The following is a 24,660-nucleotide window of genomic DNA, read 5'->3' as shown; positions in this document are numbered from 1 at the left end:
AATATAAATTGGAAATGTAGTCCCATCACACCAGTTTTTTCCTGATTTTCCTGAGCATTTAACTAAATTATTTCATTTGCAAAAAGTTGGTTTTTATCACCTTGACTATAACTCCTTATTGTTTCTCATCTATTCCACAGAGAATGGATAACGATTAAGCAAAAACAAGAGCTATCTACCATAATAAATGATACATCATTAAATCATTCAGCAAATGTTGTGTTTTTTGAGTATCTACTATTTAAACCCAATGCTTGATGTTAGAGTGCTTGAGGGGGATGGTTTTAAGGGAAAAATGAGTTTACTTTTAGAAATGTGTTTTAGATGGAAATGTCCTGCATGGACTAGAGATAAGACATTAAAGCTTGAAAAAGAGAACAGGGCTAAATAAAGTTAAAACTTGAGACCTGGGGCACCCCCACATTTAGGAGATGGGGAGTGGGGGAGAAAAGGAATCAGCAAAGGAGATATAATCAAGACAAGATATTTAAATAGCTTGACTACACAAGATATCTCACCTTACAAAAGGTGAAGGAGAGTAACAAAATGAAAAGGTGGTCAACACCATCAAATGTAGCAGCTGAAGGGGAATGTGGGTTGGTGAGGGAGAAAGTCATTAGTTGAAATAACACCATTATTTCGATGTTAAAACTTCATATTTTGAAGCCCTTTAACATTTGGAATCTTGCAATTAAGACTTTGGCAATTCCCTAACTTCTCAGAAAAAAGAATTATGGGCCAGGTGTGGTGGCTCACGCCTGTAATCTCAGCACTTTTGGAGGCTGGGGCAGGAGGATTGCTTGTACTCAGGAGTTTGAGACCAGCTGGGGCAACATGGCGAAAACCCATCTCTACTAAAAACACACAAAATATTAGCTGGGAGTGGGGGTGCACACCTGTAGTCCCAGCTACTTTGGAGGCTAAGGTAGGAAGATCACCTGAGCCTGGGGAGGTGAGCCGTGATGGTGCCACTGCACTCCAGCCTGGGTGACAGACTCTGTCTCAAAAGAAAAAAAAAAAGAATTATGTTCTGCTCAACTCAGAAACTCTTATAAATAAATTTAATTTGTCCCAAATGTTATCACTTATTTAATATTTGAGGGGGAAATGTGCTAGAATACATAGACTAAGTAGCTATAATAACAACAGCAGCAACGGTTGGTAAAATAAGTTTATTTCTCACAGTCTGGAGAGGACTGGTTCAAGGATCACAGGCTATGAAGTATTCAGGAGCTCAGTCCTCCATCTCATTGCTCTGTTATCTTACGGTGTTGTCTTTGCATGATCAAAGCTGGGTAACTAGTTTCGTTTTTTGTTTTTTTTTTTTGAGACGGAATCTCCCTCTGTTGCCCACCCAGGCTGAAGTGCAATGGCCGGATCTTGGCTCGCTGCAACCTCCGCCTCTCGGTTTCCAGCGATTCTTCTGCCTCAGCCTCCCGAGTAGCCGGGATTACAGGCGTGTGCCACCACAACCAGCTAATTTTTGAATTTTTAGTAGAGCCAGGATTTCACCATGTTGGTCAGGCTGGTCTCAAACTCCAGACCTCGTGATCCGCCTGCCTCGGCCTCCCAAAGTGCTGGGATTACAGGCGTGAGCCACTGTGCCCGGCAAAGCTGGCTAACTAGTTTCAACCATTTTTTTTTTTTTTTTTCTGAGATGGAGTCTCACTCTGTTGCCCAGGCTGGAGTGCAGTTGAGCGATCTCGGCTCCCAGGTCCAAGTGATTCTCCTGCCTCAGCCTCCACAGTAGCTGGGATTACAGGTGCCCGCCACCAAGCCTGGCTAATTTTGTATTTTTCATAGAGATGGGGTTTCACTACTTTAGCCAGGCTGGTCTTGAACTCCTGACCTCAGCTGATCCGCCCGCCTGGGCCTCCCAAAGTGCTGGGATTACAGACGTAAGCTACCGCACTCGGCCTTCAACCATGTTTTCAGAGCAGCTCATGGGAAGTAGGACAGAGAGTAGAAGGCAAGAAGCTTCATCTTTAAGGAGATGAGCTGGAAGTTAAATAATTCTGCTTACATCCCATTGACCTAAACACAATCACAGGGTCACATTTAGTTCTAAGGTAGCTGGGAGATATAGCCCAAAGTTGGGTGCCCATGGGCCCAGCAAAAACTCAGGGGAAATCAAATGGGAAGTGGAGAACGACAATTAGCAGCCTCTGGCAGATAAGATCCAGAAGAAACAGGTCTTTCTTCATAAAATACATTTTTTGAGTAGGATTCCATTACTTGAATTTTTGTAGAAAATGAAACAATGCTATGTGGCAATAAAGACATTCTTAGGTTACTCTATTTTTGTAAGAGATTTCATAGATTCAAAAGAAATCCTATTACTTACTATTTTGACTCTTTGGTAAAATAACTTACCTTTTCATCTTTAGAATTCAGAGAACTGGTACAACCACGGATACTAAACTAGTGATTATTTTCACGAATTGTCAAAATGCATTCATTCTCTATCTAGTAAAGACAAATAATGAAGAATTATATCTGTATTATTTATCTATTGCCATGTAACAAATTACGACTAAATTTAGGAGCTTAAAATAAACACTATCTCACCCAGTTTCTGAGGTCAAGAATTTCAGAGCTTATCTGGGTAGTTCTGGCCAGGGTTTCTCCTGAGGTTGTAGTCAAGATTTTGGCCAACGCTGGAGTTGTCTGAAAACCTGACTGGGCTGGAGGATTCGCTTCAAAGCTGACTCACATGACTGCTGGAGGAAAGCAGGCTCCAGTTTCTTACAAGGGGAACCTCTCTGTAAATCTGACACATAGCAGCCAGGTTCCACCAGCATGAGTGACCCATGAGACAGGGAGTATGAGAGGCCAATCAAAATGCCAAAAATGTCTCTTATAACCTAATCTCAGAAGTGACATACCACTACTTTTGCTCTATTCTATTGGTCACTCAGACCAATCCTGTTACAAGGTGGAGGTGATTATATGAGTGTGAATACCAGGAAGTGGGAATCACTTGGTGGGGGTCGGGAGTGGGGCATTTTAGAGGCTGCCTACTACAATACCTAACCTTAGGTATTGTTGGAAAAAACAAAACTCCATAAAATCTATCAATCTATGAAGTTTAAAAACAATTTAAAAAATTCTATCTAGTACAATTATTAGCCCTAAAGTTTGTCAGAGTAAACAAACTTAAGGCATTGACTTTGCACAAGAAGAAAAAAGTTGGTTGACTCCTTTGCATAAGTTTAATTTTATAATTTCATTAGGTCTCAAAAGCATTGAATCTTTCAGGTATTATTTGATTAAAATGATGTCTGTTTAGAGTTCTTCACACAGTCAGAAATGGCTTCCTTAGAATAAACATTCATCAACTCTGGTTTGGTTTCTTGAAAAGGTTCAGAAGTTAATGTCAACAAGCAAAGATCCTTTGAAAGTTAAGTGAGTTTCTCTAAGTTTTGGTGCAGTTTAAAGACATAGGATCCTCTAATATTGCCTTAACGCTGAGCTATATTTGGGAAGTTGGCATACAGAGGGTCTGTCTTGGATTAAGTCTCAAAATACCTAAAGGATTTCCTTAAACAGGCCCAGGGTCAGATATAACAGGTGCATCACTTCTAATTTTGGAACCAGAAGCAGCCAGCTTAGAGTGAGGTTGTTCTACATTCATTCAGCAGGAGTTTAGATATTACTTTGAGTTTCTCTTTGAGTTTAAAAGGCAAGCTTTTAAACTCAAAAACAAGGGCGATCCATGTTTTAAGTAGTGGCAATACTCAGGAATTTTTTTTTTTTTGAGAAGAATGAGAAGTATATGCAATGTAAGTGTATTTTAAAAAGAAAAGCAACAGGTTTGACTTGAAGCTATATTTTTCTTTTCCGTTTTTTTTTTTTTTTTTTTGAGACGGAGTTTCGCTCTTGTTGCCCAGGCTGGAATGCAATGTTGGGATCTCGGCTCACCGCAACCTCTGCCTCCTGGGTTCAAGCTATTCTCCTGCCTCAGCCTCCCGAGTAGCTGGGAGTAGCCTCCCGAGTAGCATGTGCCACCACGCCCGACTAATTTTGTATTTTTAGTAGAGACGGGGTTTCTCCATGTTGGTCAGGCTGGTCTCGAACTCCTGACCTCAGGTGACCGGGCTGCCTCGGCCTCCCAAAGTGCTGGGATTACAGGCGTGAGCCACCACGCCCAGCTGAAACTATACTTTTCTAAACCTGATTTCAAAGTGTTTCTTCGCTACAACAAGTAAATTTGAGGCAGGGACATTTTTTCATTTAGGTAACGATAACGTTTGTATTCTCTAAAAGCAGCATAATTTGAGATACAATATTTAAACATTAAGAAATCAAAGACGCTCCAAGGAAAGTGAATACATGACTGATTGCTTGCACTGAAAATACTGAAAAGTGTCTAACGTAGTTTTTAAAAAATTTTTGTCGTTGGACTCTCACCACCTGGCCTGCCTTGCCCCCCATTCCAAGGTATTTGACTACATGTCTAAACCTATAGTAATGCTCCCTTTTCTTCTCCCTCTCCTCCACCATAGCCTAAAAGACTGAATTAGTTCCTATGATTAACCATGTATTTAAATAAGGACACCAGATGTTGTATCTTAGCAAAATAAAATTTTGGTGCAACAGAAGCATGCTGGATAAATTCTGGGTTCTAAAGCATAATTTAACTTTGTCAATTCCCTGCCATTCAACGTCGGAGGGTGGGAAGTTGAGCTGAAGCCTCGAGCACTGGTGGAAGCCATGGCCAGTCCAGTCAGCATGTTATCAAGCAATTTACAAGATGAATTTTTTAAGGGGGAAAAAAAAACCCTAACGTCTTCCGACAGTGACATGTCTCTGTGATGGGGTGCTCAGCTACAGTGACAGGGTGAACAAAAATGTCTTTGGCAAAGCCTTCATCTTGCCGTAGTACGTGAGCTGTACTACTAATAGCAATCAGCAGTCCACGGTTGATTTATGGACAGAGTGTGTCGTCCCGCACCGTGCCAGTTCCCGGAGCCTCAGCCAATTAGCTCTATTTTCTGCTTAAGCCGTTAAAGCCACCTCCATGGAAACACCAGGAGAGCAGGCCGGGGGGAAGGGAGCAGACAGGTGCGCCCTCTGGAAAGAAATACACAAAGGGCCGACACTGCGCCGCCGTGTCCCTGGCAACTCCACGCCAGCCCGGCGCGCGCGATTCCCGCGGCGCAGCGGCAGGGTTGGCGGGTGGCGCGCGCAGGTCGCCCCACATCGGCCGGCGGAGCCCCTCGGCCTGCTCGCGGACGCGGCGCCAGTGCAGCGCGAAGCCGGCTTGGGGCGGTGGCGGTGGCGGCGGCGCGCCCGCGCTGTAGGGACTTGTAGTCCGCGCGCCTCCCGGGCACCTCCCCCGGGTAGGCCGGCCAGCGCGTCCCCGCCCGCCGCAAGCCGACTTCCTGCGGCTGCCAAGACTACATCTCCCGCCGTCCTCTCCGCTGTCGGGCCGAAAGCGAAAACAAATTCTGGGCTGCGAGGTGCTGTTCTCTCCCGGGCGCCCCCACCCGCTCCCTGCCCCTCCGGCGCCCTCCAGCGAGGTGGGGAAACGAAAGGCCGCGTCTTTCTTTTTGGTTTCCTCGGCTCCCGGCGTGGGGAGTGCGCGGGGGCGCAGGCCCCGCTTCACCTGAGCCGGCCCAGCGTGCGCGCCAGGGGCGGGGGTTTTCTCGCTTCACACCGGTACGGAGGAGGAAACTTGTGGGGGCGGCGACCCCCGGCCTGGGTCCTGAGTCAGGCAGCGAGGCCGTCGGGAAGTGACTACTCACTCTCGGGGTTTTCCTTAATCCCGCTCCCCCCGTTTGTCGTGGGCGCGTGTTCGCTCCGAGGAGGCGGCCGCGTGCGGACAGCCATGCATTAGGCAGGGCTTCCCTATGCGCCCGGAGAGCGCGGACCGCTGCCTCGGGCCGCCGCCGCCTGCCGCCGCTCGCGGAGCCCGAGCCCCAGCCCGAGCCGCCGCCTGCCCCAGGCCGGGGCGTCGAGCAGCCGGCGGCCTGGCCATGTGGGGCTAGCCCTCGCCGCGCCTGGCCTGCAGCAGGACCAGCAACATGGAGGCTGCCGTCGGCGTCCCCGACGGCGGGGACCAGGGCGGCGCGGGGCCCCGCGAGGACGCGACGCCCATGGACGCCTATCTGCGGAAACTGGGCTTGTATCGGAAACTGGTCGCCAAGGACGGGTCGTGCCTGTTCCGGGCCGTGGCGGAGCAGGTAATTGCGGGGGGGCGGGGAGGGCTTCGAGGGGAGGCGGGGACGGCCCGGCGGGTCTGGGTGGGGAGGCAGCTGCGGGCTGTCCGGGCCGCCCACGGCCGGGGCTGCGCGTGCCCTGGCTGTCGTCACAGCGCCCCATTGTAACGCCGGAGTGGGACGCTGCTTTGCGTCTGAAAGGTGCAAATTGAAACTCGAAAGCCCGCAAATTAACGGGGTGTCTCTCTCCTGATGAAGAGGTAATGAGTTGAGGACAACTTGTGAGGCCTGCTCGGAGCTTGTACAGTTGATTTATTGCTGGGGACCTGGCGACATGATATTTTTTACTTTTGTTCCGCATTCACCTTCCTTCCCTTCGTTTGAGAAGCACCACGCTCACCCCACTCCAGTAAACCAAGTGTTTACTAGAAGTGGTGGATCAAACTTTACTTGTGGAACATATTTTGGTTTGCTGCTGGACTTTGGAATGTAGGGTAGGCAAGCTCGCCCATGTCACTTGAATCAAATGGGCAAACTGCCGTTTGAGAAAACCAGCCTTTTACAAATATAGAATATTTTGAAGGATTTGTCTTGAGTAGGTTCCACCCTTTATTATGCTCTGCTGGGCTGTGTAGGTATACTAAACAGAACTGACTTTTTTAAAAAAGCCTGTTTTGATGTTGGTAGTAGAAAGGGTACGTGTAACTGGAGCTTTTCAAAACCATTTTCTAACACAGTTGCTCAGGAAGATTTTTCTGAATTTTTTTTTTTGAGCGAGCTTATTCCATGTTATATAACACTGTGTGTTGTAGGTGTGCAGTCACCAAAACCCATCCTATATTGAAAAATAGCTGCCGAAGTAGCTGGATAAAAGTTTCTGCTCTGGTGTGTCTTTCAGACGATTCACATGTGCTTTCCTTTGACCTAGGACCTGCTCCCCACACCCCATTGCACACCCCTCCCTACCCGCCTGTGGGGTTTTTATGATGTTTCTGTTTTCTTTTCCCTCACCTTTTTTGAATGCTAAATAACTTTTAAAATTTCTATTTGTGAGTAAATGTTTTACTTAACATGTGGAGGCCAGTCTGTTCTCATTTTTAAACATTGAAAGGCAAGCCATTTATTTACCATAGGTAGCGTAAAATCTTTCTTTAAAACAAGAAATTGATTTAACGGACACAAACCGTTGCTTTATGTTGCGGACATTGTCATTGAAAAATTCTTCCAAAAGCTCCCCAAACCAGGCTCTGTCCGTTTCTCATTTTCAGTGTTGCTGTGGGGTATGTTCACAGCCACCCACTGCCTCCGGTCCTTATTGTTAGTAGGTAAATAGTCTGCCCCATTTGTGAATTTTCTGAATCTCTGTCTGTCCTGCTTCCTTGGACTCCTCAGCACCTCCAGAAGCCTAGGGAAGAGGTGGAAGTGAATTCAGCCCGTATTTATAACGTACTGTTAGACCTAGCAAGAGTTTGGTAAGCAAGGAGGTAGAAATAAATGGCGGTAAGGGAAGCTTGGCGCTTACTTGGATTTGAGTTATCTTGAGTCCTAGTTTATATTGAAGCAGAAGGGTGTGCCTGATTTCCGTAGTGCATACCATAGATACTCGGTGGCCTTGATTATACAGAAGCCTCTTTTATTATAGTGGGATCTCTGTTTTTAAGTAGAAAAGGGGCAAGAGCTAGTTTACACTAAGAACTCTTTGTTACATCAGGTAACACATTTTATTGTATTTTGTAATGGGGTTTAGGTTAGGCATAAGGGACTACCCTTCCCAGTTATGTGACTCAGTTTTAGTCTGATGAGCTTAGCTGAAGACCTTGAACTTTGGGGGAAGTTCAGTTATTCAGTAGGCTACAGTTATAGCCATCATCGCCAAAGGCAAAGTGTGTGTGTGTGGGAAAAAGGAAGTAATACCAGCGTCAGGCTTCCCTTTTAAAATGTGTACCAATAATTTATATTTTTTGCCAACAATTTCTCCTATAAAATCACAAATACTCATCATTTCTAAGAAGGAATCAAAGTAAATAATCTAAGTGGCAGTTTTTAAAGACGGGGAGGAGACTCGAGTTAGGATTTTGGTCTTTCTCTCCAAATTATCTGATTTAGATAGGCCATTTCCTTTTTACACTTACGGATTTGGGCCTGCCGGAGGCCTGACCTGAATCAGCTCCACAGCCATGGAGCTAAAAATAGGGCAGTCTTGGAGGACTTGCTAAAACAGTGTCTCAGCCTTTCCCAGTATTTATCACTATCTTGTCCCAAGTAAAAATGGGAAAGCCTTCTAGTTTGCTTTCATGTATATATTAATTTGCAGAGATATTTGTCATACTACTTTAATTCTTTCGAAGTGTTATCAACCTTGCACAATAATTTACATTTTAGACAGTTGTCATTTAACCTTGCTTTTCTTGCAGTGCTTGACTTTGTGAATTACCAGCACTCTCACACTTTATAGAAGTTGCTAAGAGTTTTGCTTCTGAGCAACAGGTTCAGATAGATTGTATGTGCCAAAATCTTTGTTAAAAGAGAAGAACCAGTAGATATGCCTACCATTGCTTTTGATTGAAAATAAGCTTTACTAACTTATGTTTGCCACCTGTTGCTAGGTAAATGGCTTTAAGACTAGCTCCACGTTGCTAATGGCAGAGGAAAGCCCTATCAGATGACACTGTGGTTTATTCATACGAGTAATACCTTGATTCATGATAGTGTCTAACATAGCTTCTGTGAAAGAAGTGTTGCTAAATGTCATTTGTTGAATTGGCAAAAAAATTCTACGGTGGTTATTTTTATATATAGATAGTCCTTTTTGGTCACATACTCTTAGAATATATAAGAATATAGTTTAATAGTGTCCAAGAACAGCAGTGAAGGTAGAATCAGTTAAACTGAAAACCAGTTATTACACTGAAAACAAACTAATTGCTAACCTCAACAGGTGCATTTTCAGTGTATCTCAGCGTAATAGGACATACTAGGCGTCCAGGCAGTTGTGCCGGTTCTGTGGGTATAAATGAGCCTTGGTTGTGATCCAAGAGAGCTGTAGAATGCACAGCTGGAGCCTCCCTTTTCCCAAATGCTCTACTCATGCTAAACGTAAAGGGAGAACCACTCAATTGGATCTGTAACTTTTTTTTTTTGAGACAGAGTCTTACTCTGTCACTCAGGCTGGAGTGCCCTGGCACGATCTCGGCTCACTGCAACCTCTGCCTCCTGGTTTCAAGCCATTCTCCTGCCTCAGCCTCCCAGGTAGCTGGGACTACAGGCACGCACCACCACACCTGGCTAATTTTTTTTTTTTTTTTGTATTTTTTAGTAGAGATGGGGTTTTCACCATGTTGACCAGGCTAGTCTCAAACTCCTGACCTCAGGGGACCCACCCTCCTCGGCCTCCCAAAGTGCTGGGATTACAGGCGTGAGCCACAGTGCCCGGCCAGGATCTGTAACTTTTAAAGATACTTTCTATTAATATAAATTCTCAAGAGGCCTTGATGGTAGTTTGAAATGTGTTACTTTAAGTGTGTCTGAGTTTTTTTTTTTTAAACCATAACCCTTTACGGTACAGGAATATCTTTATTTGAGATACCCAGTAATAGAAAAGAATTTTAATCTCCTTTAAGCATGTTAAATAATTGGGAGCTAGGGCCGGGCGTGGTGGCTCATGTCTGTAATCCCAGCACTTTGAGAGGCCCAGGCGGGCAGATCACCTGAGGTCAGGAGTTTGAGACCACCCTGCCCAACATGGTGAAACCCTGTCTCTACTAAAAATAGAAAAATGAGCCGGAAAAAAAAAAAAGAAAGAAAGAAAAATTAGCCGGACATGGCAGCTCCTGTAATCCGGCTACTCGGGAGGCTGAGGCAGGAGAATCGCTTGAACTTGTGAGGCGGAGGTTGCGGTGAGCTGAGATTGCACCACTGCACTCCAGCCTGGTGGGGGAAAAAAGAATTGGGAGCTAGCTAGAAGGAAGCATTGGATAAGAAATAGTTGTTTCAGGCTGGGCACAGTGGCTCATGCCTGTTGTAATCCCAGCACATTGGGAGGTCGAGGTGGGCGGATCACGAGGTCAGGAGTTTGAGACCAGCCTGGCCAAGATGGTGAAACCCTGTCTCTACTAAAAATACAAAAATTAGCCAAGCGCCGTGGTAGTTGGCTGTAATCCCAGCTACTCAGGAGGCTGAGGCAGGAAGATCGCTTGAACCTGGGAGGTGAAGGTTGCAGAGAGCCAAGCTTGCGCCACTGCACTCTAGCCTGGGTGACAGAGCAGGACTCCGTCTCAAAAAAAAAAAAAGAAATAGTTGTTTCAATTCACAGCTTTAGAATTTTGGTAAAAGACCACATGCCAGTAAGTTATCTTTTTGTTGAACTGGTTGTTTAATAGAAGAAAATGTAAACTGCAGAGTGAGAGGATCTGGATCATACTTTGTAGGTTGGTACTTTACAATTTAGGGCATAAAAACAAACCCCAAACCTCTTGGGATGATACCACACAACATTTTTGCACCCCCTATGCTGCCTACTTGGATGTTCTTTCTTGTCTTATAAGCTTGATCACCAAGGAAAGAATGAGTGCCTTAATTTTTCTGAAACCATAGTGGACTTAAATTTTTACACAGAGCCTCTAAGTGGATTCAGAATTAATGGGAAAAATAAATCGGCCTCTTACAGGCTGAAAGCCTCAAAATACATTCCTACAGAAGTTGCCAGTTTGTCTTTTTCAATATGTATAGGATGAAGTTGAGCGTGGCGTAGCATGGATTTTGTTAGCTCTTCTTTGTGAAGAGTAAAGTTATTGTGGAGGGAAGGCCAAGGGAAGAGAGTGTCCTAAATTTACAAAAATGTCCTAAAGGAGAAAGGCTAATAAATTCTTTACAAATTTGGCTTAAGAAGTAGTATTGTTTGTATATGTCATGTCTTCGCTGTGCTTAGTTAGAAGAAGAGGTAGGAATGAGTAAAGATATCGAAATTATAGAAAGGGAAATGGAGAAAGACTGATAATCTATTGGTTGTCAGATTATTTTGGGTGTAAAAGAAGACATTAGGTTGTAACTTTTAACTAAATGCTTAATAGTGTGTTTGTTGCCTTTTCTTTTTAGGTATTGCACTCTCAGTCTCGCCATGTTGAAGTCAGAATGGCCTGTATTCACTATCTTCGAGAGAACAGAGAGAAATTTGAAGCGGTAACTTGTAATTTCAAACATGTAATGGTGTCTTGACTTGGTTTTACATTTTGGCTTTTAGAAGTGTTCTAGTAGAATTTCACAGGCTGGATCTTAATGCGGGTTATGAAAATAACACTTATTAAAAAAACTTCTCTATTGAACTTAATCTAGTTATATTCAGTTATGTTGTTTTCTAGGCTATTTTATGTTTTGCATTTATTTGGACATTTAGAAAGCTACTATGATGGATAAGACGCTGAGCTGTGGGGGATGGAAAGATGACCTGGACAAGGCCCTTGCATACTAAGAGTGGGCTTTGTCTGACATGGTCAGGGAATTGGGGGTGTTGTGATTAATAGTGGTTTCTGTGATGGGTAACTCCCTATAAATTAAAAGAAAAAAAATTCAGTCTGGGCATGGTGGCTCACACCTGTAATCCCAGTACTTTGGGAGGTGAAGAGTTCAAGACCAGCTTGGCCAACATGGCAAAACTCTGTGTCTACTAAAAGTAGTGGCATGGTGGCACATGCCTGAGTCCCAGCTACTCTTGAGTCTGAGGCACGAGGATTGCTCGAACCCAGGAGGCAGAGGTTGCAGTGAGCCGAGTTGCGCCGCTGCACCACAGCCTGGGTGACAGAGTGAGACTCTGTCTCAAAAAAAAAAAAAAAAAAATTCAGACTTGCAGTGTAAAAAATACGCTGAGTGTAAGTAATGCTGAACCCTTAATTTTATCAGAAGGCATTCATAGGTTTTTAATTTTCAGGGTTCAGTGTGAACTCACATGTCAGAACATTATAATTATGTAAGTAGTGATTAATAGTTAATAAAATGTTGTATAACAGCTTAATATAATTTTCTCAGTAGTATGTGAAATAAGATGCCACAGTGACCTGTTTTCATTTTACATTCAAAGTCTTACAGGATTTATTACTTACTGGTTTTAAGACCTAGAATTATGTAATCTGACAACTTTGGGTGTTATTTCCCCCAGTTGACTGGTAGAGAATGTTGATATAATACTTTGCAAATGATAGGCTTGAAACCTTGTTTTATTAAAAAAACCTGGTAACGCAGAGGCTAGATAAGAGAGTGCAGAGGTGTGGTAGAGAAGGGAAGTGGGGAGGTGGAATGGTCTTTAAATTAATTCTTATTAATCATTGGCCCCAGAGGGTAAAACTGTGTTGATAATAATGGACATTGCTAACATTGGTTGAGGTGCTTACTATATGCCAGGCATTAAGTGTTTTGCATATATTTTTTTTAGTCCATATAATTTTTTTTTTTTGAGACAGAGTCTCGCTCTGTCGCCCAGGCTGGAGTGCAGTGGCGCCATCTTGGCTCACTGCAAGCTCCGCCTCCCGGGTTCATGCCATTCTCCTGCCTCAGCCTCCAGTGTAGCTGGGTCTACAGGTGCCTGGCACCATCACGCCAGGCTAATTTTTTGTATTTTTAGTAGAGATGGGGTTTCACCATGTTAGCTAGGATGGTCTCGATCTCCTGACCTCATGCTCTGCCTGCCCCGGCCTCCCAAAGTGCTGGGATTACAGGCGTGAGCCACCGTGCCTGGCCTTAGTCCATATAATTTTATGAGGTATGATCAGAGGTTGAAAGTTCCATGGGGAAAAGTTTCACTTTCCTTTTATGAACCTTCAAGCAGTTTCAGTTGTCCAGAATTGGAAAGAGATGTTGTAGAAAGTATTATGCCTTGTTACTGACATTGTTCAGCCATGGCATAGGTGGACGCTTTCTGCTCAGAAAGGAGACTCTCAGAGAGGATGCAGGCTTGTGTCAGAATTCTGCAGTCTCTAGTAACTTTAAATGGTTCTGTGTTTTTTTTTTCCTTAGACCTATAATCATCTAATACAGAACAGTAGCCCTTTATTGGTGGGCTCTTTAATATATATGGCTCTTTTATTATAAATATCTTTCGAAATTTAAGATATTTTTGGCAATTTGACATTATATAATCTATGAAAGAATCTCAATCTTAAAATCCAAGGGTGCTTAAAAGATTTTATAGACAAGGGAGTATACTTTAATGTCTTTAAGTATATCTCTGCTAAATCAACTGGGACTGTAATTTAAACGCAATTGAATTTGGTGGTTCAACAAATGACTTTTAGAGATTTCTCAAATGAGTGCGATTGCTATTAAAGAAACATAAAAAAGGTTGTGTTATTACACAGCTTGAATAAACTGTTTTTATGTCAAAGTAACAATGAAGCGATGAAGCAAGCTGTATTAGAAAAATTTTGTTGATGCTTCAAAATATTTTTCGCCTTACTAGTTCTCATCGCTCTTTCTAGTATCACTTGAGAGACAATGAGTACTCTTATCTGTATTATTAAGCTATACTATTTCTTAGCTTGTAAGTCAGTCTTTGTTTTATTCCCTTCTACACACTGGTCACTACCAAGTTAAAGCACTGCTTTCATCATATAATTTCTCAGTTCAGAATGTCACCTGAAGTGGCCTTGAATGGCCTTTCTCATCTAGCCTTCAAGTCCTGCCTGGGCTCAAGGCCCTCTGTAAACAGGCCCCCCTTTGGGTTCTTCTCCCACTCAGTTCCACAACAGGTTGTCCTGCTCCAGCTGGCCAGATTGCTTGTCTTCCCAACACAGTGTTCCTCTTCCTCCTCACGCCACATTGGCCCTCTCTGTAGAGTATCAGCTGCCTGTTGCCATCCAGATCCTGTCCAGCATTCATCTTGAGTCACTCTTCTTTCAGGAAACCTTTCCTGACAGAATTTCCTTCTTTAAATTCTTTTGTATGTTTATAGTCTTTAATGATTGCTATATGTTTTCATAATTAGATTATGTACATATTTTTAAATAATACTGAGGTATTTTAGGTTTATGTACAAACTCAGTAATTCACAGTGAATGTTTACACAGCGAAGCGGTTAACTGTTTTGGCATATATGTTAGATGACATTTCTAATAGATTTATTTTTTGCAGTTTATAGAAGGATCATTTGAAGAATATTTAAAGCGTTTGGAAAATCCACAGGTATGTCACAGTCTTCTAGTATATTTCTATTTTTATATATCCAAATAATGTATTTAAAATTCATTAAAATAGAAGATTACTATTACAGTGTATAGAGGAGTTGCAGTGACGGTGTATCCTATTTCCTTATAAACGTTTCCTACACATTTTATGCAGCACTTAAGTTGGAGCTATATGTTAGAGGTTGCCTCACTAAGGCAGAGTTGTGATATTTTATCTTGGCTATAATGGCATGTAAATGTAGTATAAAAATCTGAAATAATACTGGGGTGATGATTTTCAGAATGCTACGTTGGTGTGTGTATGGAACTTGGACAGGGTGAAGTTTGATTTCTTTTTTTTTTTTTTTGAGGTGGAATTTAACTCCATTGCCAGGCTGGAGTGCATGGCATGATCTCGGCTCACTGCAGCCTCCGCCTCCCGAGTTCAAGCGATTTGTCTCCCGAGTATCTGGGACTACAGGCGTGCACCACCATGTCCAGCTAATTTTTTTATTTTTAGTAGAGATGGGGTTTCACCATATTGGCCAGGATGGTCTCGATCTCTCGACCTCGTGATCCGCCTGCCTCAGCCTCCCAAAGTGCTGGGATTACAGGTGTGAGCCACCACACCTGGCCTGCAGAGTTTTTCTTCCTAGGCAACTGAGAAGGCAGAGTTCTTTCATGCAGGTTCCTATTTCCATGATCATCTCGTGAAGAGGGAAGAGACTGTTGAGACAGAAAAGGATAGCACTTACTCACCAACTCCTGCTGCTATACTTTTTCAGTCATGTTTATGTTAAAAGGATTTTTCTTAATTTTTCTGTTTACAAAACTAACGTTCTCACTGTAAAAATCCAAGTATCTTGGAATGCCATTTAGAATGTTAAGGTAAAAATAACATTGGCAAAGAAAAAAGCTAAGAAGAGTTAAGGAGTAAAGGGAATGTAATGTAGGAACCAAGGGTGTTTGATCGATGACTGATGTATCCATTTGGTTGCCTAACACTAATTTGAGTGCTTGTTATGGGCCAAGAATTCCTAGTCACCCTGGGGATGCAGAGATAATGTAGATAACAAAAAAGTTTCCCTATCATAGGAAAGAAGGTCAATACAAGCTAGAAAAGGAGATTTGTCACAAGAGGTATATAGCTGTGATGCTGTAGGCATTCAAAGTGTTATTTCTAGCTGGGTAGACAAAGCAACACTTGGAGAGTGAGTTGTATTTGAAGTCTGAATGGATTCTAAATAGGAAATGCCTGGGCTGAAGGGCATTCCAGGCAGTGAAAACTGTGAGCAAAGCAGATTCAGAAAACAGTTCCAATTGTGTGGAGCATTGAGTATGTGAAGATAAGAAGTGGTGAGAAAGGAGTTGGAAGGCAGGTTGGGGCCAGACTGTGGGAGAGCCTTCAGTGTTAGGGTCAGTGGTTTGGAGCTTATGCTTTAGACCCGTGTTTCTCAAAGTGTGATCTGTAGGTTATCTGTATCAAAATCACTTGATGTGCATGTGAAAATGCAGATTCCCTGGCCCCTATTCCATACCTGAATCAGGGCCTCTGGGCCTGGGGCCTAGGCATCAGGCATTGGGAAACCATATAAGGTTTTTGGGGCAGGAAGTCAGAGTAGTGGTTATCCTATCTAAAATTGTAATTCTCAGCTTCCATCACTTTCCCTGTACCCCTCTCTGCTTTATTTTTCTCTGTAGTGCTTATATCATTTAATGTACTGTGTACTTTGTCATCTTCCTACTTGAATTAAGCTCCATGAACACAGAGTTCTGTATGCTTTATTCACTGCTGTGTTCCAGTTCTGAGGGATTTTGTTGACTGAAGGGTTGGATGGCATCTTCTGACAGTTGTTTCTTTTTTGTTACTAGCAACAAATATTTATAAATCTTCATTCTTATTTTTTTGCTTTCCTGGGCTGGGCACAATGGCTCGTGCCTGTAATCCCGGTACTATAGGAGGCAGAGGCGGGAGGATCACTTGAGGTCAGGAGTTCAAGATGGTGAAACCCTGTCTCTACCAAAAATACAAAAAAATTAGCCAGGCGTGGTGGTGTGCACCTGTAGTCCCAGCTATTCAGGAGGCCAAGGCAGGAGAATCGCTTGAACCTGGGATGCAGAGGTTGCAGTGAGCTGAGATTGTGCCGCTGCACTCCAGCCTGGGCAACAGGGTGAGACTCCATCTCAAAAAATAAATAAATATATTTTTTTGCCTTCCTAATATATGGCTGTATAAAATGGAAACAGAAACCATTTGGCAGATATTTGATGGATAAACTCAGTTGCTTCATCCAGTTCTCAGAGAAAGCATCTTTATCCTCTTAATGAGTAATAGTGGAGCATTTTGAAGGTACTTCAAACTTGTGCGAGAATATGTTTTTGTCAGCTTTGAGGTAAAATTGACATACAGTGAAATTCATCACTTATAAATATACAATTTGATGAGATTTGACAAGTGTATATGCTCATGTAACCACCACAGCAAACATCATAAAGGACATTTCCATCTCTCCAGAAAGTTTCCTTTTGCCTTTTTGCAGTTAATCCTCTTCCGCCTATCCCCTGGGACCTGGCAAGCACTGATTTGCTTTCTAAGTTTTGCTGTTTCTAGATGCATATAAGTGGAATGATAGAGTTTGTAGTCTTATGTATTTGGCTTCTTTCACTTAGCCTATTGGAAATACTAAAATTCATTCATGCGTTTAGCAGTAGTTCCTTTTTATTGAAGAAAAATAATCTGTGTATGTATCTATCACAACCTGTGTATACATTTACCAGCTGATTGATATTTAAGTTCTTTACAGTTCTGGGTTGTTAAAATTGAAGCTGCTGTGAACAATTGCTTATAAATCTTTGTGTAGACATGTGTTTTCTTTTTTCTTGGATTAATACCTTAGAGCAAAATTGCTTGGTCATCTGGTAAACATATTTTTAAGAAACTGCCAAACTTTTTGAAGTGACTGTACCATTTTGCTTTCTCATCAGCAATATTATGAGAATTTCAGTTTCTCCACATATTTGCCAGCACTCTTTGTGATTTAACTTGAATTTCTCTAATGATGTTGAGCATCTTTTCATGTGCTTATTTGTCATCTATCTAATTTTGTTGGTGAAATGTCTGTTCATAGGTTTTTGCCCATTTTTTAATTGCTGTTGTTCTTACTGAATTTTACTAGTTCTTTATACTGGATATAAGTCCTGTATTGGATATGTGTTCTACAAATACATTCTTCTAGTTTGTATTTTGGCTTTCCATTTTCTTTTTTTTTTTTTTTAATTTTTTATTTTATTTATTTATTATTTTTTTTTGAGGCAGAGTTTTGCTCTGTTGCCCAGGCTGGAGTGCAGTGGCATGATCTCAGCTCACTGAAACCTCTGCCTCCCGAGTTCAAGTGATTCCCCTGCCTCAGCCTCCAGAATAGTTGGGATCACAAGCTTGGCTTTTCATTTTCTTAACAATGTCTTTTGAGGAACAAGAGCTTAATACTGATGACTAAGAACATTTAAGTTATGTAATTTTGTTATAGTATGGTTAATTAGTTAAAACATATTTTGAAGGAATTCTTTTTACAAGAAAGATATATGTCACACATCATAAAAAATGCTGATTAAGTAAAATTACAGTGTTAGAAGACAGTGGTAGTATAATATCGATTTTTTTTTTAAATAATTTAATACTGACACTGCTTGGGGAAGATTTTAGGATATCCATTGTTTACCTAACCAGACTACAAAAGAATTTATTCTGAAGGTTACGTATCAAAAAGTACATTATTCTCATGTAGCATTTTGTTGAGATGGATAGAATTTTTCATTTTTAATTTTTTTTAGAGATGGAGTTTCACTCTTAATACGCAGGCTGGAGTGCAATGGTGTAATCTCAGCTCACTGCAACCTCTGCTTCCTGGGTTCAAGCAATTCTCCTGTCTCAGCCTCCTGAGTAGCTGGGATTACAGGCACCCACCACCACGCCTGGCCAATTTTTGTATTTTTTAGTAGAGATGGGGTTTCACCATGTTGGCCAGGGTGGTCCTGAACTCCTGACCTCAGGTAATCCACCCTCCTTGGCCTCCCAAAGTGCTGGGATTACAGGCGTGAGCCACCGTGCCTGGCAGAATTTTTCATTTTTTAAAGTGATGTAATACTTCTTGTATAAAAATTAGAAATGTAGCTCGTGTGTTTGATCTAAACAGACTCATATCAGTGAACGGTTTCCTCTACACCAGAGGGTATCACTTCTAGCAGTTTGTGAGAAGCCATGATTGTTAGGCTGAGGCTTATTTTAAGAGATCTATTTTAATATATGGCACCTATTTCATTTTGAAAATCAGAGCTAACTTTTAAGAACTATTGAAAAGTCTCTGAGGGAAAAGATTGTGCTGGTCTAAGATCAAAACATTGTTTAAAATATTTTCCTTATTTCAGTTTTTCTTTCCTTTCAAGGAATAAGTGGCAGCATTCATTTACCAAAGCTCATTGTTTTTGGTGACTTAATGTATTAAGTCTTTACCGACTTCACAGTACTATAGGAAAATATTCTTACGGTAAAAGTTTTAAAATATAGATGTATTATAGAATAAAGGGTGAAAATTCTTCATTTTTCCTCATGTTAACTTCCCTGTCTCTATTGTCAATTTAGGATGTATCCTCCCCATCCCCTTTCTATGTGTGCACATGTACCAATATATATGCCTTTTTGTTTTTCACAAATAGTATTATTTTCCCATGATTTACTTTTAAAACTTAATCTTGAGTGATTTTTCTAGGTCATTTCATGTGGTTATACCTCATTCTTTTGAATGAATGCATGATATTCTATAGTGTGGCTGAAACATGAATTATTTTTTATGAGACATAGTTTCGCTCTTGTCTCCCAGGCTGGAGTGCAGCAGCGCGATCTCGGCTTACTCGACTGCTGCCTCCCAGCTTCAAGTGGTTCTCCTCCCTCAGCCCCCGAGTAGCTGGGATTATAGGCATGTGCCACCAGGCCCGACTAATGTTTTGTATTTTTAGTAGAGATGGGGTTTCACTGTGTTGGTCAGGCTGGTCTTGAACTCCCAACCTCGTGATCTGCCTGTCTCGGCCTCCCAAAGTGTTGGGATTACAGGCGTGAGCCACCACATCCTGCCTGAAACATGAATTATTTTACTATTCTGTAGGAATCTTAGGGACTTTTTTTTTTTTTTAAACACTGTTACAAATAACTCCCAGTGACATCATTATTTTACATACACTTTTGTAGATGTGAAATATTTCTTTATGATAGACGTATAGAAGTTGAATTGCTGGGTCACAGGGTATATGGGACATTTTAAATTTTGAAACATACTGGCCATTTGCCTTTCAGAAAGGCTTTAAGTGACTTTTCTAAGGAGTGTAGAATTTCTCTTGTTTTCAAAACAATTGCTAGGACACTGCTCTCTTTTGTACCTTCATTTACCCTGAAGAGAAGAGATCTTCTGCCCTTTTCTATACTTCCCAATTTTCTGCTTCTATTCAATATTTCTTTCTTTCTTTTTTTTTTTTTGAGACCGAGTTTTGCTCTTGTTGCCCAGGCTGGAGTGCAATGGTGCAATCTTGGCTCACTGCAACCTCTGCTTCCTGGGTTCAAGCGATTCTCCTGCCTCAGCCTCTTGAGTAGCTAGGACTATAGGCATGGGCCACCACACCCGGCTAAGTTTGTATTTTTAGTAGAGAGGGGGTTTCTCCATGTTGGTCAGACTGGTCTCGAACTCCCGACCTCAGGTGATCCGCCCTCCTTGGCCTGCCAAAGTATTGGGATTACAGGCATGAGCCACTGCGCCCAGCCGCCTCTATTCAGTATTTCATTTCCCGAGCTTATACCATGTGCCAGGCGCTCTCCTGAGGGCTAGGCTGGAGGATAGCCCTTGCCTTCAATACGTTCTCAACTTGGGCCAGGCGCAGTGGCTCACGCTTGTAATCCCAGCACTTTGGGAGACTGAGGCGGGTGGATCACCTGAGGTCAGTAGTTGAGACCAGCCTGACCAACATAGAGAAACCCCGTCTCTACTAAAAATACAAAATTAGCTGGGCATGGTGGCACATGCCTGTAATCCCAGCTACTTGGGAGGCTGAGGCGGGAGAATCGCTTGAACCTCGGAGGCAGAGGTTGCGGTGAGCCGAGATCACGCCGCTGCACTCCAGCCTGAGCAACAAGAGCGAAACTCCATCTCAAAAAAAAAAAAGTCTCAACTTAACAGATGCCATGCTGTGGTCTTGCCACACCAATAGGAACTGTCATTTCACCCTGTTAGTATTTTTTTGTGTATGTGTGGGAGAGACTTGGACTGCATTTTACCACATATTGTGGTCTGTTTTATATAAACGTTTTTATAATATTCACAATACTACTAATAATAATGAGCTTTAAGAACTCATTACGTATGCTGTATGAAGGTATGTATAGAAATATAAAGTGGAATCTAAAAAGTGTGAGACACTTACATGCCACCTTTTTTTCTTCAATACAGGAATGGGTAGGACAAGTGGAAATAAGTGCCCTTTCTCTTATGTACAGGTAAACACTGTAATAACATAAGTAAAAGAAAATGAAACCAGTGGGAAATTATATTCCATTATATTAAAAATGTTAAAATAGCAAAGCTCTTTTATACTTTAGTTATGAAGTATCTTTTCTAAGTTTTTTTTAATTGCATCAATTAGATTTTGACATTTAGATATGTCAGTGTTTAGAAATTTTAATTCTCAAAATACTTTGGAAAAGGGTACAGAAATTTTTCCGGTCTATGTTCTGTAAGATATCACTTATCAACTTTGTAGAGAAATGATTTTCTACTTTCTCAGGGTCAGTGGTATTGAATGGCCACTAGAACCGTACTAAAATACCATGTTACAAATTGGGTATTCCTTATCTGAAATGATTGAGTCCAGAAGTTTTTGGATTTCATTTTTTTTTTAAATTTTGGAATATTTACATTATGCTTACCCAGTTGAGCATCCCTAATTTGAAAATCTGAAATCCAAAATGCTCCAATGAGCATTTCCTTTGAGTGTCATGTTGGTGCTCAAAAAGTTTTAGATTTTGGAACATTTGGGATTTTGGCTTTTTAGATTTGGGATGCTCAACCTGTATTCAATTTTGCTACTTTTGCCTAGTAGAGGAGCAGGTAAATACTTTGTTTTTTCTTTTCAGAATGTTGTTTAAATTTCATCTTCAAAATTTCTTTGATTTTTGAAGTGTCCCTTTAGAATTATATCTGAAATTTAATATATATACAAATAATATTTGAAATTTTACATGTTAAAAAGGTTACTTTTATATAGATATTTTACAACTTAGTTATCTCATTATTGTCTTTTGTATCTCCAGTGGTTGGGACAGTGCCTGGCACGTATTAGGCCCTTGATGAATGAATGAATGATTAAATTCAAATTCATGAAGTATAGTCCATTATAAATAATTTCTAATTGTTATTTTCAGGAAAGATTTTATAATTTATCGGGAACCAAATGTTTCTCCTTCACAAGTAACAGAAAATAATTTTCCTGAAAAGGTAAGAATTTTTCAAAGTGTTCTAAAGTATTTAAGTAAAAGAACCGCTTAGTTGCTACCATGACCTCATAAGCTATAATTTTAAATGATTTTTTGAAATATTTCTGTATTAAGGTTATGGTATTCTGATTTCTTAAAAGTTCCTATAGCCGGGTGCGGTGGCTCATGCCTGTAATCCCAGCACTTTGGGAGGCCAAGGCAGGCAGATCACTTGAGGTCAGGAATTTGAGACCAGCCTGACCAACATGGAGAAACCCTGTCTCTACTGAAAAAATACAAAATTAGCCGGGCGTGGTGGCACATCCCTGTAATCCCAGCTACTAGGGAGGCTGAGGCAGGAGAATCGCTTGAACCTGGGAGGTGGAGGTTGCAGTGAGCCGAGATCACACCATTGCACTTCAGCCCGGGGATCAAGAGTGAACCTCCGTCTTAAAAAAAAAAAAAAAAAAAAGGTTCCTATTAATTGTCACTTAGTCATATTATTTTGTATTTTTTTTGCTCCCACAAGTTACTGTATTTAACCCTTTTATAACATTTTAGTAGAAACACTGAATTATGAGACATTAATACATATGATGAACTAGACTATTATAGTTTTTTATCAATATAAACATTAGTAAAAAAAAATAACTTGTGAAAATAGGTTCTGCCATTACATCCAGGAATACTTTAGTAATCATAAATATTTCCCTAGTGTAAATTTTACTCACAAGGGTGTCGTTGCATTATCTGTCATAAAGCAGAAGCAACTGAAAAATTTTGTGAAGCCTAGAAAGAAAGATCAACTGACTTATTATAAGAGAATTTTTGTCTTAAGTAGCTATTTTGGAGTCATGATGGCCAAATTGAAGTGACTTGTGTTCCACCATGCTGGTGGTGTTAAGTTAGAGGGGAATTGAGTGAAATACTACTGTTATAAGGGTTTTGGGGTTTCTGGGACTTTCTAAGGGATCTGGCTTTTTCAAAACAAGTTTTGAAATATATTGTTATATTCTAAACAAAATCAATGTGCATTTTTCTTTGTATAAGTGATGATTTAGAAAATCACTTATACAAAGAAATTTAACTTTGATTTTGCTTGTTAGAAAATTTTGCATGTTAGAGGTTAGCATTAATAAGGTTTTGAAATATTTTCTTACAGTGTCTTGTTCTTTAAGTAGTTGAAAGCATGTTTTCATATATTATTTTTATTTTTTTGTGATCCTATAAACATTTCCAGAAATCATTTTGAATTTTTTGATTTAATGTTTATATAACATTTCAGCATATGGATGTACTGTAGCTTGACAACACTGAAGCTTTAGGTTACTCCTAAAATACTCACTGTCTGTTTGGAAATGATCTAGTAATTCAGAGGCATTGGAGACATACATTGCTATGTAAATGTTATATGTATGAGGGGCTGAAATGTTTCTTTTATTTTTCCCTTTCAGGTGTTACTGTGTTTTTCAAATGGAAATCATTATGATATTGTGTATCCCATAAAGTATAAAGAAAGCTCTGCTATGTGTCAGTGTAAGTATCACCTTGTGTTTATATGGGAAATTATATTCCTAAACTTATACAGTCTTTTTGTTTTTTGTTTTGTTTTTTGTTTTTTTTTGAGACGGAGTCTCGCTCTGTCTCCCAGGCTGGAGTGCAGTGGCGTGATCTCCGCTCACTGCAAGCTCTGCCTCCGGGGTTCATGCCACTCCTGCCTCAGCCTCCCGAGTAGCTGGGACTACGGGCGCCCGCCACAACGCCTGGCTAATTTTTTTGTATTTTTAATAGAGACTAGGTTTCACCGTGTTAGCCAGGGTGGTCTCGATCTCCTGACCTCGTGATCCGCCCGCCTCGACCTCCCAAAGTGCTGGGATTACAGGCGTGAGCTACCGTGCCCGGCCTTATACAGTCTTAATGTAAACAAATCAGAGCAAATAATTCTATTCTGTTATAATATAAAAGATATGTCCAAGAACCTTAAATTACCAAGAGTATTAATATTATAATAAAAACTTGTTGCAGTAGGAGGAAAGGTAGCTGGGCATGGTGGCGCATGCCTGTGGTCCCAACTACTTGGGAGGCTGAGGTGGGAGGATCACTTGAGCCCAGGAAGTCAAGGCTGCAGTGAGCTATTATTGTGCCACTACACTCCAGCTTGGGCAGCAGAGTGAGACCTTGTTTCAAAGTGAAGCAAAGCAAAACAAAACAGAGAGAAATTGGAGGAAAGGGAGCTTGTGGCTAGAGTTTGACTTGTAAATACCAACTTTTTTTTCCTGCAATCATTTTGGTAATAAAGATTTATATGCATTTTAAAAACTGTTAGTGTATAGCTTGAAAATCCAAATGACTGAGCAAATCAAACATTTGATTGTATTTGGCTCCGGGGCAGCATTTTGAACCTTGGAACTATTGATATTTTCGGCCAGATACTCCTCTGTTGTAGGCTCTCTTGTGAACTTCAGAATGTTAAGTAGCATCCTTGGCTTCTACCTAGTGGATGGCAGTAACACACTCTCTCTCCCTTTGTGACAACCAATAATATTTCCAGATTTTGCCAAATGTTTCCTGGGCATATGAATTCCCTTTGCCCTTCTTCTGTGTGAGAATTCCTGCTGTAGAAGAGCAGTGACCCTTCCTACCAGTTTCTTTTATATCATCCGTTCTGGCAAAGTACAGATCAGTCATAAAGCAGTGGTGCTGGGCTTGTGACAGCTTTTTCCTCTGCTCTTAAGCTAGTGGTAACCAGTAAAGATATGTGCAATACACTATTTTAAATAATTAATCCATTGTAAGATATCGAAGTGTAGCCTCTGTACCCTGGGCTGTGTCTTCT

General features: G+C 41.3%; 1 protein-coding gene and 1 long non-coding RNA gene across 9 annotated transcripts in view, besides 7 other annotated features; one reads left to right on the top strand and one right to left on the bottom strand.

Moving 5' to 3' along the window:
• Positions 1,158-3,807, bottom strand: LOC124900794 (uncharacterized). Its single transcript, XR_007058294.1, has 2 exons — positions 2,569-3,807; positions 1,158-2,466 (listed from the first exon to the last, which is right to left on the bottom strand). It is a non-coding gene; the product is annotated as an uncharacterized LOC124900794 (long non-coding RNA).
• Positions 4,650-5,479: an enhancer, noted in NCBI's record as "H3K27ac hESC enhancer chr4:146101673-146102502 (GRCh37/hg19 assembly coordinates)". NCBI's record gives its function as "activates a minimal SCP1, AML or CMV promoter by ChIP-STARR-seq in naive H9 embryonic stem cells {active_cell/tissue: H9 hESC(naive)}" and the evidence as "EXISTENCE:reporter gene assay evidence [ECO:0000049][PMID:30033119]".
• Positions 5,005-5,404: a silencer, noted in NCBI's record as "silent region_15725". NCBI's record gives its function as "represses an Ori minimal core promoter by ATAC-STARR-seq in GM12878 lymphoblastoid cells {active_cell/tissue: GM12878}" and the evidence as "EXISTENCE:reporter gene assay evidence [ECO:0000049][PMID:35858748]".
• OTUD4 (OTU deubiquitinase 4) overlaps positions 5,411-24,660 on the top strand; it is a 46,940-nt gene continuing 27,690 nt past the window's right edge. For 3 of the 8 annotated variants that reach the window (XM_047415838.1, NM_001366057.1, NM_001366058.1), the window contains exons 1-6: positions 5,411-6,185; positions 11,256-11,339; positions 14,280-14,330; positions 20,803-20,849; positions 21,774-21,846; positions 23,279-23,360. In XM_047415838.1, the coding sequence (XP_047271794.1) occupies positions 6,027-6,185; positions 11,256-11,339; positions 14,280-14,330; positions 20,803-20,849; positions 21,774-21,846; positions 23,279-23,360 (496 nt within the window). In that variant the 5' untranslated portion in view covers positions 5,411-6,026. Of the gene's footprint in view, positions 6,186-6,319; positions 6,422-7,841; positions 7,873-11,255; positions 11,361-14,279; positions 14,331-20,802; positions 20,850-21,773; positions 21,847-23,278; positions 23,361-24,660 lie in introns of those variants that run through there. The other 5 variants (XM_011532041.3, XM_011532040.3, NM_001102653.1 and 2 more) reach the window with 4 other exon arrangements.
• Positions 5,480-6,309: an enhancer, noted in NCBI's record as "H3K27ac hESC enhancer chr4:146100843-146101672 (GRCh37/hg19 assembly coordinates)". NCBI's record gives its function as "activates a minimal SCP1, AML or CMV promoter by ChIP-STARR-seq in naive H9 embryonic stem cells {active_cell/tissue: H9 hESC(naive)}" and the evidence as "EXISTENCE:reporter gene assay evidence [ECO:0000049][PMID:30033119]".
• Positions 5,495-5,724: a silencer, noted in NCBI's record as "silent region_15724". NCBI's record gives its function as "represses an Ori minimal core promoter by ATAC-STARR-seq in GM12878 lymphoblastoid cells {active_cell/tissue: GM12878}" and the evidence as "EXISTENCE:reporter gene assay evidence [ECO:0000049][PMID:35858748]".
• Positions 5,845-6,304: a silencer, noted in NCBI's record as "silent region_15723". NCBI's record gives its function as "represses an Ori minimal core promoter by ATAC-STARR-seq in GM12878 lymphoblastoid cells {active_cell/tissue: GM12878}" and the evidence as "EXISTENCE:reporter gene assay evidence [ECO:0000049][PMID:35858748]".
• Positions 7,735-7,984: an enhancer, noted in NCBI's record as "active region_21963". NCBI's record gives its function as "activates an Ori minimal core promoter by ATAC-STARR-seq in GM12878 lymphoblastoid cells {active_cell/tissue: GM12878}" and the evidence as "EXISTENCE:reporter gene assay evidence [ECO:0000049][PMID:35858748]".
• Positions 16,977-17,177: a silencer, noted in NCBI's record as "peak5130 fragment used in MPRA reporter construct". NCBI's record gives its function as "represses an SCP1 promoter by STARR-seq MPRAs in K562 erythroleukemia cells {active_cell/tissue: K562}" and the evidence as "EXISTENCE:reporter gene assay evidence [ECO:0000049][PMID:32103011]".

This window comes from Homo sapiens, chromosome 4 (assembly GCF_000001405.40).
Source record: "Homo sapiens chromosome 4, GRCh38.p14 Primary Assembly".
In the NCBI taxonomy this organism is placed as follows: domain Eukaryota; kingdom Metazoa; phylum Chordata; class Mammalia; order Primates; family Hominidae; genus Homo; species Homo sapiens.
The sequence above is the reverse complement of the archived record's forward strand: the minus strand, read 5'-3'. Positions and strand labels throughout refer to the sequence as shown.